The following is a 15,904-nucleotide window of genomic DNA, read 5'->3' as shown; positions in this document are numbered from 1 at the left end:
GGTTGCCTGTTCACTCTGATGGTAGTTTCTTTTGCTGTGCAGAAGCTCTTTAGTTTAATTAGATCCCATTAGTCAATTTTGTCTTTTGTTGCCATTGCTTTTGGTGTTTTAGACATGAAGTCCTTGCCCATGCCTATGTCCTGAATGGTAATGCCTAGGTTTTCTTCTAGGGTTTTTATGGTTTTAGGTCTAACGTTTAAGTCTTTAATCCATCTTTAATAGATTTTTGTATGAGGTGTAAGGAAGGGATCCAGTTTCAGCTTTCTACATATGGCTAGCCAGTTTTCCCAGCACCATTTATTAAATAGGGAATCCTTTCCCCATTGCTTGTTTTTCTCAGGTTTGTCAAAGATCAGATAGTTGTAGATATGCGGCATTATTTCTGAGGGCTCTGTTCTGATCCATTGATCTATATCTCTGTTTTGGTACCAGTACCATGCTGTTTTGCTTACTGTAGCCTTGTAGTATAGTTTGAAGTCAGGTAGGGTGATGCCTCCAGCTTTGTTCTTTTGGCTTAGGATTGACTTGGCGATGCGGGCTCTTTTTTGGTTCCATATGAACTTTAAAGTAGTTTTTTCCAATTCTGTGAAGAAAGTCATTGGTAGCTTGATGGGGATGGCATTGAATCTATAAATTACCTTGGGCAGTATGGCCATTTTCATGATATTGATTCTTCCTACCCATGAGCATGGAATGTTCTTCCATTTGTTTGTATCCTCTTTTATTTCCTTGAGCAGTGGTTTGTAGTTCTGCTTGAAGAGGTCCTTCACATCCCTTGTAAGTTGGATTCCCAGGTATTTTATTCTCTTTGAAGCAATTGTGAATGGGAGTTCACTCATGATTTGGCTCTCTGTTTGTCTGTTATTGGTGTATAAGAATGCTTGTGATTTTTGTACATTGATTTTGTATCCTGAGACTTTGCTGAAGTTGCTTATCAGCTTAAGGAGATTTTGGGCTGAGACAATGGGGTTTTCTAGATATACAATCATGTCGTCTGCAAACAGGGACAATTTGACTTCCTCTTTTCCTAATTGAATACCCTTTATTTCCTTCTCCTGCCTGACTGCCCTGGCCAGAACTTCCAACACTATGTTGAATAGGAGTGGTGAGACAGGGCATCCCTGTCTTGTGCCAGTTTTCAAAGGGAATGCTTCCAGTTTTTGCCCATTCAGTATGATATTGGCTGTGGGTTTGTCATAGATAGCTCTTATTATTTTGAAATACGTCCCATCAATACCTAATTTATTGAGAGTTTTTAGCATGAAGGGTTGTTGAATTTTGTCAAAGGCCTTTTCTGCATCTATTGAGATAATCATGTGGTTTTTGTCTTTGGTTCTGTTTATATGCTGGATTACATTTATTGATTTGCATATATTGAACAAGCCTTGCATCCCAGGGATGAAGCCCACTTGATCATGGTGGATAAGCTTTTTGATGTGCTGCTGGATTCGGTTTGCCAGTATTTTATTGAGGATTTTTGCATCAATGTTCATCAAGGATATTGGTCTAAAATTCTCTTTTTTGGTTGTGTCTCTGCCCGGCTTTGGTATCAGGATGATGCTGGCCTCATAAAATGAGTTAGGGAGGATTCCCTCTTTTTCTATTGATTGGAATAGTTTCAGAAGGAATGGTACCAGTTCCTCCTTGTACCTCTGGTAGAATTCGGCTGTGAATCCATCTGGTCCTGGACTCTTTTTGGTTGGTAAGCTATTGATTATTGCCACAATTTCAGATCCTGTTATTGGTCTATTCAGAGATTCAACTTCTTCCTGGTTTAGTCTTGGAAGAGTGTATATGTCGAGGAATTTATCCATTTCTTCTAGATTTTCTAGTTTATTTGCGTAGAGGTGTTTGTAGTATTCTCTGATAGTAGTTTGTATTTCTGTGGGATCAGTGGTGATATCCCCTTTATCATTTTTTATTGCATCTATTTGATTCTTCTCTCTTTTTTTCTTTATTAGTCTTGCTAGCGGTCTATCAATTTTGTTGATATTTTCAAAAAACCAGCTCCTGGATTCATTAATTTTTTGAAGGCTTTTTTGTGTCTCTATTTCCTTCAGTTCTGCTCTGATTTTAGTTATTTCTTGTCTTCTGCTAGCTTTTGAATGTGTTTGCTCTTGCTTTTCTAGTTCTTTTAATTGTGATGTTAGGGTGTCAATTTTGGATCTTTCCTGCTTTCTCTTGTGGGCATTTAGTGCTATAAATTTCCCTCTACACACTGCTTTGAATGCGTCCCAGAGATTCTGGTATGTTGTGTCTTTGTTCTCGTTGGTTTCAAAGAACATCTTTATTTCTGCCTTCATTTCGTTATGTACCCAGTAGTCATTTAGGAGCAGGTTGTTCAGTTTCCATGTAGTTGAGCGGTTTTGAGTGAGATTCTTAATCCTGAGTTCTAGTTTGATTGCACTGTGGTCTGAGAGATAGTTTGTTATAATTTCTGTTCTTTTACATTTGCTGAGGAGAGCTTTACTTCCAAGTATGTGGTCAATTTTGGAATAGGTGTGGTGTGGTGCTGAAAAAAATGTATATTCTGTTGATTTGGGGTGGAGAGTTCTGTAGATGTCTATTAGGTCCGCTTGGTGCAGAGCTGAGTTCAATTCCTGGGTATCCTTGTTGACTTTCTGTCTCGTTGATCTGTCTAATGTTGACAGTGGGGTGTTAAAGTCTCCCATTATTAATGTGTGGGAGTCTAAGTCTCTTTGTAGGTCACTCAGGACTTGCTTTATGAATCTGGGTGCTCCTGTATTGGGTGCATATATATTTAGGATAGTTAGCTCTTCTTGTTGAATTGATCCCTTTACCATTATGTAATGGCCTTCTTGGTCTCTTTTGATCTTTGTTGGTTTAAAGTCTGTTTTATCAGAGACTAGGATTGCAACCCCTGCCTTTTTTTGTTTTCCATTCGCTTGGTAGATCTTCCTCCATCCTTTTATTTTGAGTCTATGTGTGTCTCTGCACGTGAGATGGGTTTCCTGAATACAGCACACTGATGGGTCTTGACTCTTTATCCAATTTGCCAGTCTGTGTCTTTTAATTGGAGCATTTAGTCCATTTACATTTAAAGTTAATATTGTTATGTGTGAATTTGATCCTGTCATTATGACGTTAGCTGGTTATTTTGCTCGTTAGTTGATGCAGTTTCTTCCTAGTCTCGATGGTCTTTACATTTTGGCATGATTTTGCAGTGGCTGGTACCGGTTGCTCCTTTCCATGTTTAGCGCTTCCTTCAGGAGCTCTTTTAGGGCAGGCCTGGTGGTGACAAAATCTCTCAGCATTTGCTTGTCTGTAAAGTATTTTATTTCTCCTTCACTTATGAAGCTTAGTTTGGCTGGATATGAAATTCTGGATTGAAAATTCTTTTCTTTAAGAATGTTGAATATTGGCCCCCACTCTCTTCTGGCTTGTAGAGTTTCTGCCAAGAGATCCACTGTTAGTCTGATGGGCTTCCCTTTGAGGGTAACCCGACCTTTCTCTCTGGCTGCCCTTAACATTTTTTCCTTCATTTCAACTTTGGTGAATCTGACAATTATGTGTCTTGGAGTTGCTCTTCTCGAGGAGTATCTTTGTGGCATTCTCTGTATTTCCTGAATCTGAATGTTGGCCTGCCTTGCTAGATTGGGGAAGTTCTCCTGGATAATATCCTGCAGAGTGTTTTCCAACTTGGTTCCATTCTCCCCATCACTTTCAGGTACACCAATCAGACATAGATTTGGTCTTTTCACATAGTCCCATATTTCTTGGAGGCTTTGTTCATTTCTTTTTATTCTTTTTTCTCTAAACTTCCCTTCTCGCTTCATTTCATTCATTTCATCTTCCATTGCTGATACCCTTTCTTCCAGTTGATCGCATCGGCTCCTGAGGCTTCTGCATTCTTCACGTAGTTCTCGAGCCTTGGTTTTCAGCTCCATCAGCTCCTTTAGGCACTTGTCTGTATTGGTTATTCTAGTTATACATTCTTCTAAATTTTTTTCAAAGTTTTCGACTTCTTTGCCTTTGATTTGAATGTCCTCCCGTAGCTCGGAGTAATTTGATCATCCGAAGACTTCTCTCAGCTCGTCAAAGTCATTCTCCATCCAGCTTTGTTCCGTTGCTGGTGAGGAACTGCGTTCCTTTGGAGGAGGAGAGGTGCTCTGCTTTTTAGAGTTTCCAGTTTTTCTGCTCTGTTTTTTCCCCATCTTTGTGGTTTTATCTACTTTTGGTCTTTGATGATGGTGATGTACAGATGGGTTTTTGGTGTGGAAGTCCTTTCTGTTTGTTAGTTTTCCTTCTAACAGACAGGACCCTCAGCTGCAGGTCTGTTGGAGTACCCGGCCGTGTGAGGTGTCAGTGTGCACCTGCTAGGGGGTGCCTCCCAGTTAGGCTGCTCGGGGGTCAGGGGTCAGGGACCCACTTGAGGAGGCAGTCTGCCTGTTCTCAGATCTCCAGCTGCGTGCTGGGAGAACCACTGCTCTCTTCAAAGCTGTCAGTCAGGGACATTTAAGTCTGCAGAGGTTACGGCTGTCTTTTTGTTTGTCTGTGCCCTGCCCCCAGAGGTGGAGCCTACAGAGGCAGGCAGGCCTCCTTGAGCTGTGGTGGGCCCCACCCAGTTCGAGCTTCTTGGCTGCTTTGTTTACCTAAGCAAGCCTGGGCAATGGCGGGCGCCCCTCCCCCAGCCTCGCTGCTGCCTTGCAGTTTGATCTCAGATTGCTGTGCTAGCAATCAGAGAGACTCCGTGGGCATAGGACCCTCCGAGCCAGGTGCGGGATACAATCTCCTGGGGTGCCGTTTTTTAAGCCCGTCGGAAAAGCGCAGTATTCGGGTGGGAGTGACCCGATTTTCCAGGTGCCGACTGACACCCCTTTCTTTGACTAGGAAAGGGAACTCCCTGACCCCTTGCGCTTCCCGAGTGAGGCAATGCCTCGCCCCGCTTCGGCTCGCGCATGGTACGCGCACCCACTGACCTGCGCCCACTGTCTGGCACTCCCTAGTGAGATGAACCCGGTACCTCAGATGGAAATGCAGAAATCACCCGTCTTCTGCGTCGCTCACGCTGGGAGCTGTAGACTCGAGCTGTTCCTATTTGGCCATCTTGGCTCCTCCCCCCAAGAAATAGATTTTGCTGTCTTTATTCTTTCCGCATCGTTCTATTCTGGGAAACTTCCAGTGCTGGCACATAGCAGCTGTATAAAAATTATTGTCAACAGAATGAGGGGAAAGAGAGACGCAGGAAGGCAAGAAAAAAAAAAAAGAAAAGAAAAACACATCTGGTCACTCGTGTTACTGAGGTGGGATAAATACTCAGGACTATTCAATTTCAGAGTTGTGCGGATGTGTATGTGCGTGTGTATCTGTATGTGCACTTGTGTGATTGTGTTTGTGCAAGTGTATGTATGTGTATATAGTTGCAGGATTGCAGTTGGAAGTGAAAGTTGGCCTACATATTGAAAGAAAATCAGCTGATTAACTCAATACCATGATAGGGTAACATATAGGCTCTGATTCAATCTTTATGACAATCTTTATGAAAACCTTTGGGACAACCTTTTATAATTTCTCTCTCAAGTTTAAGAAACTAAAAATTTTAACCGTGGCCAGGTGCTGTGGCTCATGCCTGTAATCCCAACACTTTGGGGGAACCAAGGCAGGCGGATCAGCTTGAGCTCAGGAGTTCAAGACTAGTCTAGCCAAAATGGCAAAACGCCATCTCTACAAAGAATACAAAAAATAACAAGGCATAGTGGTGTGTGCTTGTAATTTCAGCTACTCAGGAGGCTGAGGTGGGAGGATTGCTTGAACCTGGAAGGTCAAGGCTGCAGTGGGCCATGATTGTGCCACAGCACTAGAGCCTGAGTGACAGAGCTAGACCCTGTCTCAAGCAAACAAAGAAACTAACTAAAAATTCTGATTGGCTCAAGGCAATCACAGCCAATGCAATCTCTTGGTCTGCGATTTGGTTAATGGGTAGGCATGTGACTCTGCTCTGGCTGGGGAAAAAAAAAACATGAGGGAAGTCTCTTGGGTGCTCATGAGAATGGTGTTCTTCTGTTATAAAGGAGGAGAAAGGATAGTGATGAAGCAACGATACAACACTCAGACTAATGATTAGCTCCCTGGAGGGAGTAGGAAGGGAGAGAGAGATAATTGGAGATGGGCATACAGGAAGATTCCATAGCTTAATTAAGTCTTGTTTCTTTCACTCATCAATGAGTTACAGAAACATTAATTAATTTTATTCTCCTTTAAACCCAATATGGCACATACATTACCTATAAACTACATAGACTTTAAGTCATATATAAGTGTGTGTGTGTGTGTGTGTGTGTGTATATATATATATATCTGGGTATACTTGTTTATATGAAATAATTCAAAATGAAAATATGCAAAAATCCCCAAAGATAGGAAAAATAGTCTATTCTTTACCTGGACATTATTGTGTCTGGAAGAGATGCTGAGAACAGTGGTACATGTCTTACAAGTAGAAGAAGCTGCTAAGCTTGGGTCCATTCTACTCTTTCTTCTCATTCTTTTAACAAATATTCTTTGAGCATCTATGTGGCCAGCATTGGGCTGCATCAAGAATGTAATCGTGAATGATTTGGGGGCTTTTGATGATTTGTTTAGGCCACTGAATGAACTGATGTTGGGGTAGCCTACCTCTGGGTGACCTGTTTTGCCAGCTTTTACACGTCTGTAGATACATACATATACATATATAAACTTTTAATATTAGACATCACTTTGAATCAATTTGGTCTGTTGCCTGTAACTGAAGTCATCCTGACAGATGCAGGCTTTAGCATGTTTTGCTTGCTTGTCTCATGGCTAGGTCCCCTGCATGTCCCTGGTGTCTGGTTGTACATTGGTAAGTTGAAGCTTGGTGCACATAAGCGCATCCCTGTGATTTACAAGGCAAAGGGACAGGGGCTGTGAAACCATTCATAGCAGGCTCCAGAAGATGGCCAAGCAGGAGGGATTGGAGCCAAAGAGGACTCTTTCTGGTCCTTGGAAAGAAGCAAATTGATGAGTTTCAGTTACAAAGAATGGCTTAACATTGCATACGTCATGATTAAAAGAATGCATGATCTCTTTCTTGATTGGATCTAATAAAACCTTTGTCTATTAACTAATAAGTTAAAAAATGACATGCAAAGCCGTTTGAGTTATAAGCCATAAAGCAATAAATAAATGAAATTACGTTTTAGAAAAAAGCCCAGGCTTCAGGCAGAGCCAGTAGGAGGCCCCTGGGAAAGCCTCTCTGAACAGATTTGGGGTTTGGTTACATCTTGTCCCTCATTCTCATGCTTCCTGCTCATGGGTTTCAACTGAAACTTCAGTTTGGCTTCCTTATCCCAGCTCCAGGAAAACCTGCTGACAAACCTGACTTCCCACATTCACCTTTAAGTTCCAGCTGGGGTGGGGCCTGGAGAAACCCCATGTATCATCAGATAGATACTCTGTGATCAGGCCAGGCATGGTGGATCACACCTGTAATCCCAACACTTTGGGAGGCTGAGGCGGGCGGATCACAAGGTCGGGAGTTTGAGACCAGCCTGACCAACATGGTGAAACCCCGTCTCTACTAAAAATACAAAAATTAGCTGGGTGTGGTGGTGCAGTGCGCACTTGTAGTCCCAGCTACTCAGGAGGCTGAGGCAGGAGAATTGCTTGAGCCTGGGAGACGGAGGTTGCAGTGAGCCGAGATCGTGCCACTGCACTCCAGCCTGGGTGACAGAGTGAGACTCTGAAAGAAAGAAAGAGAGAGAGAGAGAAAGGAAGGAAGGAAGGAAAGAAGAAAGGAGAAAAGAAGGAAGAAAGGAAGAAAGGAAAAAAGAAGGAAGAAAGGAAGAAAGAAGGAAGGAAGGAAAGAAAGAAAAAAAAAAAAGACACTGTGATCAGTTTGGTACGTGCATCAGTGAGCATTCACTGCATACGTACTATGTCCCAGGCCTTGCTCTCAGAGCTGGCATACACAATGAATAAGAAATACTCCCTTTCAATAATCATGGCTAAAATTTATTGAGTGCTTACTCTGTGTTAGGCACTATTCTAAGTGCATTACATTTTTACTCCATAAGACATCTATGCAGTAGGTAGAATTTTTAATCCTCATTTTCCAGATGAAAAAAAGCTGAGGTCCAGAGAGATGAAACGATTTCCCAATATCATACAACCAGTACCCAGAGAGCTAGTAAGTAAATTAATATGTTCAAAATGAAACTACTGATCTTTCCTAACGGTATGTCTTGCTTTCAGCCCAACCTGTTCTACCTTCTGCACATAGGCTTCTGAACTTGAGTGCTATTGACATTTGGGTGGGACCCTCCTTTGTGGTGGGGAGCATTCCTGTGTGTTAGAGGATGTTTAATAGTATCCCTGGCCTCTACTCATTAGATACTAGTAGCACCTCTGAGTTTGTGACAATCAAAACTATCTCCAGATATTGCCTAATGTCCCCTGAGCCTCTTTCCTGTGGCTCTCATCAACTTCAGAGTCCTCTGTGACTCTTCTTTCTCTCACACCCCTACTCCCCAGGCATTAGGAAATTCTGTTCTCTTGACCGTCACGCTCTACTCAGAATCTGACAATGGCTCTCCCCTCCAGCCTAATCCAAGACACCTTCATCTCCCCCCTGAATTGTTTCATCAGATTTCTATTGTTCTTGCAGCTTCTATTCCTTTCTCTTACAATTTATTCTCAGCAGAGCAACCAGAGGAATGCTTTTGGAGCATAGTTCAGAGTGTGTCACTCTCAGCTCAAAATGCTGCCGTGGCTCCCCAGTTCCCTTGGAGTAAAAGCAAAGTTCATACAGTGCCCTACAAAGTCCTACCTGATTTGTTTCCCTCTTGTCTAGCTCCTTGGAGAGGTGCCTCTCTTACTTCATTACCCACTATACTCCCTGTCACTCAATCTGCCCCAGGTTACTCTGGTTTTCTTCCCATTTCTCCAAAACACCAGATATATTAGCTCAGGCGGCCATAATAAAACACCATACACTGGGTGTTCTAAACAACAGAAAGGCATTTTCTTCAGTTCTGGAGGCTAGAAGTCCAAGATCAAGATTCCATCAAGATTGGTTTCTTATGAGGGCTCATTTCTTTTTTTGAGATGGACTCTCACTCTGTCCCCAGGTTGGAGTGCAGTGGCGTGATCTCAGCTCACTGCAACCTCAGCCTCCTGGGTTTAAGTGATTTTCCTGCCTCAGCCTCCCAAGTGGCTGGGACTACAGGCCACCACACTTGGCTAATTTTTATATTTTTAGTAGAGACAGGGTTTCACCATGTTGGCCAGTATGGTCTTGATCTCCTGACTGCATGATCCACCCGCCTTGGTCTCCTAAAGTGCTGGGATTACAGGCATGAGCCACCACACCCAGCCATGAGGGCTCATTTTCTGGCTTACAGAAGGCTGCCTTCTTGCTGTATCTTCACATGGTTTTCCTCTGTGCTCAAGTGCTTCTGGTCTCTCTGCCTCTTCTGCCATTATGATGGGGCTCATCCTACTGGACTAGAGCCCCACCCTTATGACCCCATTCTACCTTATTACTTCCATGCAGGTCCTCTCTCCAAATACAGTCACATTAGTGGGTAGGACTTCAACATATGGATTTTATGGGGGCGCAATTCAATTCTTAACATAAGAATACTCCTGCTTTTACACTGGCCATCTCTACCCTGGAATGCTCCTCTACCAGTTATCTGCATGGATAACACCCTCTCTCCTTGCAAGTTCTTACTCAAAATTTCCCTTCTCTGTAAGAACTGACCACCCTCATTAAATTTTTATCTCTTCCCTCACTCACTTCCTTCCACACTCTCAATCTCTCTCCCTGTGCTCCGCATTTTCATTTTTGCACAGCCTGATGTGCGCCTTCTAGTATACTATTGATTTTGCTAATTTATTATGCTTACAGATGACTGTCTCGGTGGTCCACCCTATCATTGGAATGGCAGATTCATTGTCTGTTCTGAATACAAGTGTATCCCACCTGCCAACTAAAGCACCTTGCATAGGATAATGCTTAATAGTCAGTGAGCCAATGGAGACTGGGTAGATCCAGGCTTTGACACTGGACAGTGCAGCTCTAGGATCCATGCTCTTAACATCTAACAATATTGCCTCTCAGGCAAGGGTGGGGAGGAAATAAATTAATAGATAATTCCCAAATAGAATGATTAGTGAACTAATTAATTTATGGGCAAAACGCAAGGTTAGCAGAAAAGACTGTTAATGTCTTTGCCTGCCTGGGGCTTGTGTGTGCATGTGTGTGTGTGCATGGGTCTTGAGGGGCAGGGTATTATTCAAGAAGAGTTCCCAAAAGAAAACCTGTAGACACTTGCTCTTTGAAAATATCAAAAGTAGCTATTTATTACCATTACAGAAGAATACATATTGGCTGTCAAAAAAATCAGAAACTACAGATAATCAAAAATAGATTGCTGTATTCCCATCATGCTTTAATATGTTCATATGCATGGATTTCAGAACTATATTTGTATTTTTGTCCATTAAGATGGAATTATGCTGCAAATGCTAGCTTGCATTCCATTTTTTCCGTCTCTCCCATCTTTTAGAGGCGTTCTTTTTTTTTTTTTTTTTTGAGACGGAGTCTCACTCTGTTACCCAGGCTGGAGTGCAGTGGTGCGATCTTGGCTCACTGCAAGCTCCACCTCCTGGGTTCACGCCATTCTCCTCCCTCAGCCTCCCGAGTAGCTGGGACTACAGGCACCCACCACCATGCCCGGCTGATTTTTTTTTTTTGTACTTTTTTTTTTTAGTGGAGATGGGGTTTTCGCTGTGTTAGCCAGGATGGTCTCAATCTCCTGATCTTGTGATCCTCCCACCTTGGCCTCCCAAAGTGGTGGGATTACAGGTGTGAGCCACCGTGCCCGGCCACTGTGGGCATTCTTGAATAGGTCTTGAGGGATGAAGAGGAGTTCACCCAGCCAGCAGAGTAAGGAAAGGTGTTTCTAGCAGAGGTAGGAGGATGTATGAAGGCACACAGAAAGGAATGAGACAACTTGCCATGCTTCAGTTGCTTCACATGAGCCCACTAGAGTGTAAGGTGTGGGAAAACAGGCAGCCGTGAGGCTGGAGAGAGAGATTGGAGAGAGATCAGGAGGACATTATGCTCTCTCGTAAGAGTGTGGCTTTGTCCCATGAGCAGGCCCACGTTTTTCCAAGTGCGAAACATAAGCCTCCAATGGGATGTGAGAAGACATTAGGAGAAAATGACACAGAATTGCATGAAGAGAAACTTACTGTCTTTATTATGTCTTTGCTTTTCTAATTGAGCAGGGCAGAAAGTCTCTGTTAGTGCTAACATGCCCTTAACACCCCTCCAGCACTTGTACTCTCCCAACTTTAAAAAAGAGGAACATCAGGCTCCAAGCTTTTAATAATCAACTACTTAGAATGTTACAAAATAATTTTGCCCCATTTGTGGTTATTTTTACTATTATTCAATCATTTATTTCATAAATATTGAGCACCTATTAATGTGCTGGGCACGGTTCTAGGTTCTTCTATGTATGGCAACTGAGTGTTTTTCTATTTATGGTGATAGTATAATATGATTATGGTATAATATTTCTTTGGAACATGCTATGGGCTGAATTGGGTGCCCAAATTTATATGATGAAATTGTAATTTCTGGTAGCTCAGAATGTGGCTGTATTTGAAGACAGGGCCTTTAAAGAGGTGTTAAGTTAAAATGAGGTCATTTTGGAGGGCCCTGATCAAATAGGGCTGATGTCCTTATAAGAAGAGGCAACTAGGGCACAGAAAGGTACAGAGGGAAGACAGAGGAAGAAGATGTCGTCTACAAGCCAAGGTGGGAGGCCTCAGAAGGAACCAACCCTGCCCACACCTTGATCTCAGACTTCCAGCCTTCACAACTATGAGAAAAGAAATTTCTGTTGCTTAAGCCCCTTAGTCAGCGCCACTGTGTTAGGACAGCCCTAGGAACTAATACCTTACATAAATCTGTTTATGTTATAAAAGCAAGTACCTTTCAATGAATAATGTTAACTTATTTTATCGGTGGAATGAGGACAAGGCAAAACTTATGAAAATAAAACACAAAAACATGAGCCTGCAGGACAATTCTTGAAGGTGATAATGGAATAACTAGATTCGTAGGTTACCCAAGAGGTGCGGAGAGCCATGGATGAGTCTAACACGAGGGACCCATAACATCCAGTCTAAGGGCACTTGACTGCTCTTTTTTCCAGATGTGGTAAACTGTGCTGTAGCTGAGATATATCCACTGTCCCTGTGTTTGTCGGTGCCTGACCTGCCCAGTGTAATGAGGAATCTGACCCAGAGTCAAATTGGCCTACATGAACCCTCCCCTCCAGCCAGACCTGCCCCATTGCTCTCTGATTCTGTGTCTCATTTAGCCACCTGGCCTTTGCTTCTGCAGAACCTTCTGCATGGCAGTCGATAAGACCTTCACTGCGTGTCTTCAATTCCCACAGTGATAGAATGGACATTATTAAAAATGTGTGTTCCTGTCTTTATGGCATCTTTCCTAAAGAGATTCTTCAGATGGGAGAATTATAACTGTCTGTCCCATTGATACCATGCTTATCACATGGGTTCCTTTGGCCAGTGAAGGATGAGTGACGAGCACCTCTGAGCATGAGCCTTAAGAGCCCCTGAGTGTTCCATCACCATCAGTCTTTCTCCTGGAAAAAGGAACAAGACTGAAAATACCTCAGACAGAGCCTGCTCCTTCAGCCTGGGCCCAGAATCTAGAGTTGAGCTGAAGCTGACCCACAATGGCCATAGTGTATGTGAGGAATATTTTTACATGCCCCTAAGGGATTTTCTTGTTAGCATAGCATAATATAACCGAGGATGACTGATACACCCTGTCATTCTTAATTCTTAATTCTTCTTCTTCTTCCTCTCTTTCTCCTCCTCTTCCTCCCCCTCCCCCTCTCCTTCTCCCCCGTCCTTCTTCTTTTTCTTCTTCCTCCACTTCCTCCCCCTCCCCCCCTCCCCTTTCCCCTCTCCGCCTCCCTCCTCCTCCTCCTCCTTCTCCTTCTTCTTCTTCCTCTTCCTCTTGTTCGTCTCCTACTCCTTCTCCTTCTCTTTCTCTTTCTTCTCTTCCTTCTCCTCCTCATCCTCGTCCTCCTCCTCCTCCTATTATTATAACTGAAGTGATCTTGGACAACCCATTGCATTTTAGGGGGACTCAATTTTCTCATCTGTAAAATGGAGCTTAAAATACCCAGACGTTCCAAGAATGCTGTTATTTAATAAAAAATGCATAAGACAAAGCATTAAGATATTTAGATTCTGGTTCACTCCTCACTCTGTGCAACCTAAGGATGCCCTTTTAAATCCTGTGGACTTCAACTGCCCCATCTATAACATAGAGCTGTTCACACCAGCCTAGCTGATGTCGCAGAACTGTGGTGAGGGTCAAGTGGGAAGGGGAGAATGCAAACACCTCAAAGTGAAAATCATCACATGTAACTATAAATCATCATTTGCACAGACAGTGGAAGTGCTGTTTCCATTTTCTTTTATTTTTTTCTCTGCCTCACTCTTCGTTGAGTATTCTGTTAAAAACAAAACAAAACACACCTCTGTTACCCAAGAGAGCAATATCAAAAAATTAAAACCTGCTCTTAAAAACACTTGACCCCAGCTACAATCACTGCTGGGCTTATGAGGGCTCACCCTGCCCCTTCAGCAGTTATTTCTTAAGCCTGTCTAATGTTTAGGTAGAAGAGCCTGGGGATTGAGAGAGACCATTACAGGTGCTGTTGGCTCTAGGACCCAGAGAGGAGTCCATAGATGCCCAAGTTCAGAGGCAGTGCTTGCAGCAATCTTGTTCTCTAAGTGTCACACCGTTGTAAGGTGTGAGAAATCCTGAGATTTCTCACTGTCAGGAACATAATCAAATGAGACTTGGAAATAAAGGAAACCCTATGCTCAGACATGTATTTTTTTGAGGACTTGGAGACACTGATGGAAAATATATTGCTACCACAGGGAATAACCCTATGGGCTGGCAGACATTGGGCCCTGTGGCCCTGGGGCCCCTCACTGCATAATCCCCCAGATTCTTTAGCAAATGTCTGTTTATTTCCTTAACTAGCACCCCACCACACGCACATATGCACATACACACTGTATGAATTCCACACACCCTAAACTCTGCTACTCCCAAAATAAGAACCAATGTTCATTGGATATTTATCCAATAAAACTTGTGATACTTATACCTGTGAGAATTTAATTAAGACAGTAACTGCAAAGCACTTGGCACAGTGCTTTCAATATATATACTATATACTATATATATATATAATATACTATATATATATACTATATACTATATATATACACGCACACACACACACACACTTTTTATTTCAATAGCTTTTGGGGGAGCAGGTGGTGTTTGGTTACATGGATAAGTTCTTTAGTGGTGATTTCTGAGATGTTGGTGCACCCATCACCCGAGCAGTGGACACTGTACCCAATGTGTAGTCTTTTATCCCTCATCCTCCTCCCACCCTTCTCCCTGAGTTCCCAAAGTCCATTATATCATTATTCTGCCTTTGCATTCTCATAGCTTAGCTCCCACTTATAAGTGAGAACATAGAACATACAATATTTGGTTTCCCATTTCTGAGTTACTTCACTTAGAATAATGGACTCCAATTCCATCCAGGTTGCTGCAAATGCCATTATTTCACTCTGTTTTATGGCTGAATAGTATTCCATGGTGAATATATATCACATTTCTTGGATACTTATATTTTTGCCAGGAACTGTCCCAACAGCTTTGTGTGTGCTGATGTATTTAAGCTTCATTATGCCTCTTGGGGAGCGGGAAGTGTGAATTTTTATTATTAGAGTTATCATGAGAAAACTGAGGCTCAGAGTGGTTAAGGAAGTTGGCTGGGATCACCCAGCCTGTATGTGGGGATGCTGGGATTTGAACCTAGGCAGTGCAACTCATATAGCTATACTTTTTGCCCCACAATTATATAAAGCATGTCCTAGTCCATACCGATAGTGAAATTTCACTACAGTATTTTTTCTTCAAAGCACACCAGAACAACTTTGACTCATTGAACTTTCTGTTCAGCCTAATCCTAGGGACAGAGATTTTTCTCAATGGATCAGGGTAGAGAGATTTTAAACAAGGTGCTCTCTTGTAATCTTGTCATAAGGAATCCAATTCAAGCTATACTACTCACCCGTTATCAAAAAGAGGTGGGAAATATATCACTGCACCTCTACTGTGTGGGAGACCCTTCACGCTCCCACATGGGAATCCTTGGGGAACATGAGATGTGGGGACAGACATCATGTGGCAAATGGGGCTGAATGGGTGTGTTAGATTTTGGGTGTAGACCTTGATGTCACACAGCCCTAGGTTTAGATCCTGATGTTGCTGCTTACTTGATGTGTAGCCTTGGCAATTTACTTTTGGAGCCACGCTTTGTTCATCTGCAAAGAGGGCGGTGGAAATAAAAAGACCTCACTGGGTTGTGAGAATTCAATCAGGTTAGTAACTGCAAAGCACTTAGCGCACAATGCCTGTGTTTTAGTCAGAGTTCAGAACCAATAGGATATGTATACATTATATAGAGAGATTTATTTCAAGCAGTTTAATCACATGATTACGGAGGCTGGCAAGTCCAAAATTTGCAGACTGGAGACCCAGAGAAAAGTCGATGTTACAGTTCGAGTGCAAAGGTTATCTTCTAGCCCAATTCCTTCTTGCTCGGGTGAGGTCAGTCTTTGCTCTTTTCAGGCCTGCAACTGACTGGCTGAGGCCCACTCCCAGTATGTAGGGCAACCTGCCTTACTCAAAGTCTACTAATTTAAACATAGATTTTATCCAAAAAGCACCCTCACAGGTATATCCAGAATAATGTTTGTCCAAATATCTGGG

At 42.7% G+C, this 15,904-nt stretch overlaps 1 long non-coding RNA gene across 1 annotated transcript in view, besides 2 other annotated features; it reads left to right on the top strand.

Annotated features, from left to right (window-relative positions):
- Positions 1 to 15,904, top strand: part of LOC124903082 (uncharacterized) — an 85,010-nt gene that overhangs the window by 64,834 nt on the left and 4,272 nt on the right. The gene's annotated exons all lie outside the window — the stretch shown is intronic.
- Positions 4,005 to 4,545: an enhancer, noted in NCBI's record as "H3K4me1 hESC enhancer chr12:115723465-115724005 (GRCh37/hg19 assembly coordinates)". NCBI's record gives its function as "activates a minimal SCP1, AML or CMV promoter by ChIP-STARR-seq in primed H9 embryonic stem cells {active_cell/tissue: H9 hESC(primed)}" and the evidence as "EXISTENCE:reporter gene assay evidence [ECO:0000049][PMID:30033119]".
- Positions 4,546 to 5,088: an enhancer, noted in NCBI's record as "H3K4me1 hESC enhancer chr12:115722922-115723464 (GRCh37/hg19 assembly coordinates)". NCBI's record gives its function as "activates a minimal SCP1, AML or CMV promoter by ChIP-STARR-seq in primed H9 embryonic stem cells {active_cell/tissue: H9 hESC(primed)}" and the evidence as "EXISTENCE:reporter gene assay evidence [ECO:0000049][PMID:30033119]".

Source organism: Homo sapiens, chromosome 12 (assembly GCF_000001405.40).
Source record: "Homo sapiens chromosome 12, GRCh38.p14 Primary Assembly".
NCBI classification, from domain to species: Eukaryota; Metazoa; Chordata; class Mammalia; order Primates; family Hominidae; genus Homo; species Homo sapiens.
Note: the sequence above shows the minus strand (reverse complement) of the source record. Positions and strands in the feature narration are given on the sequence as shown.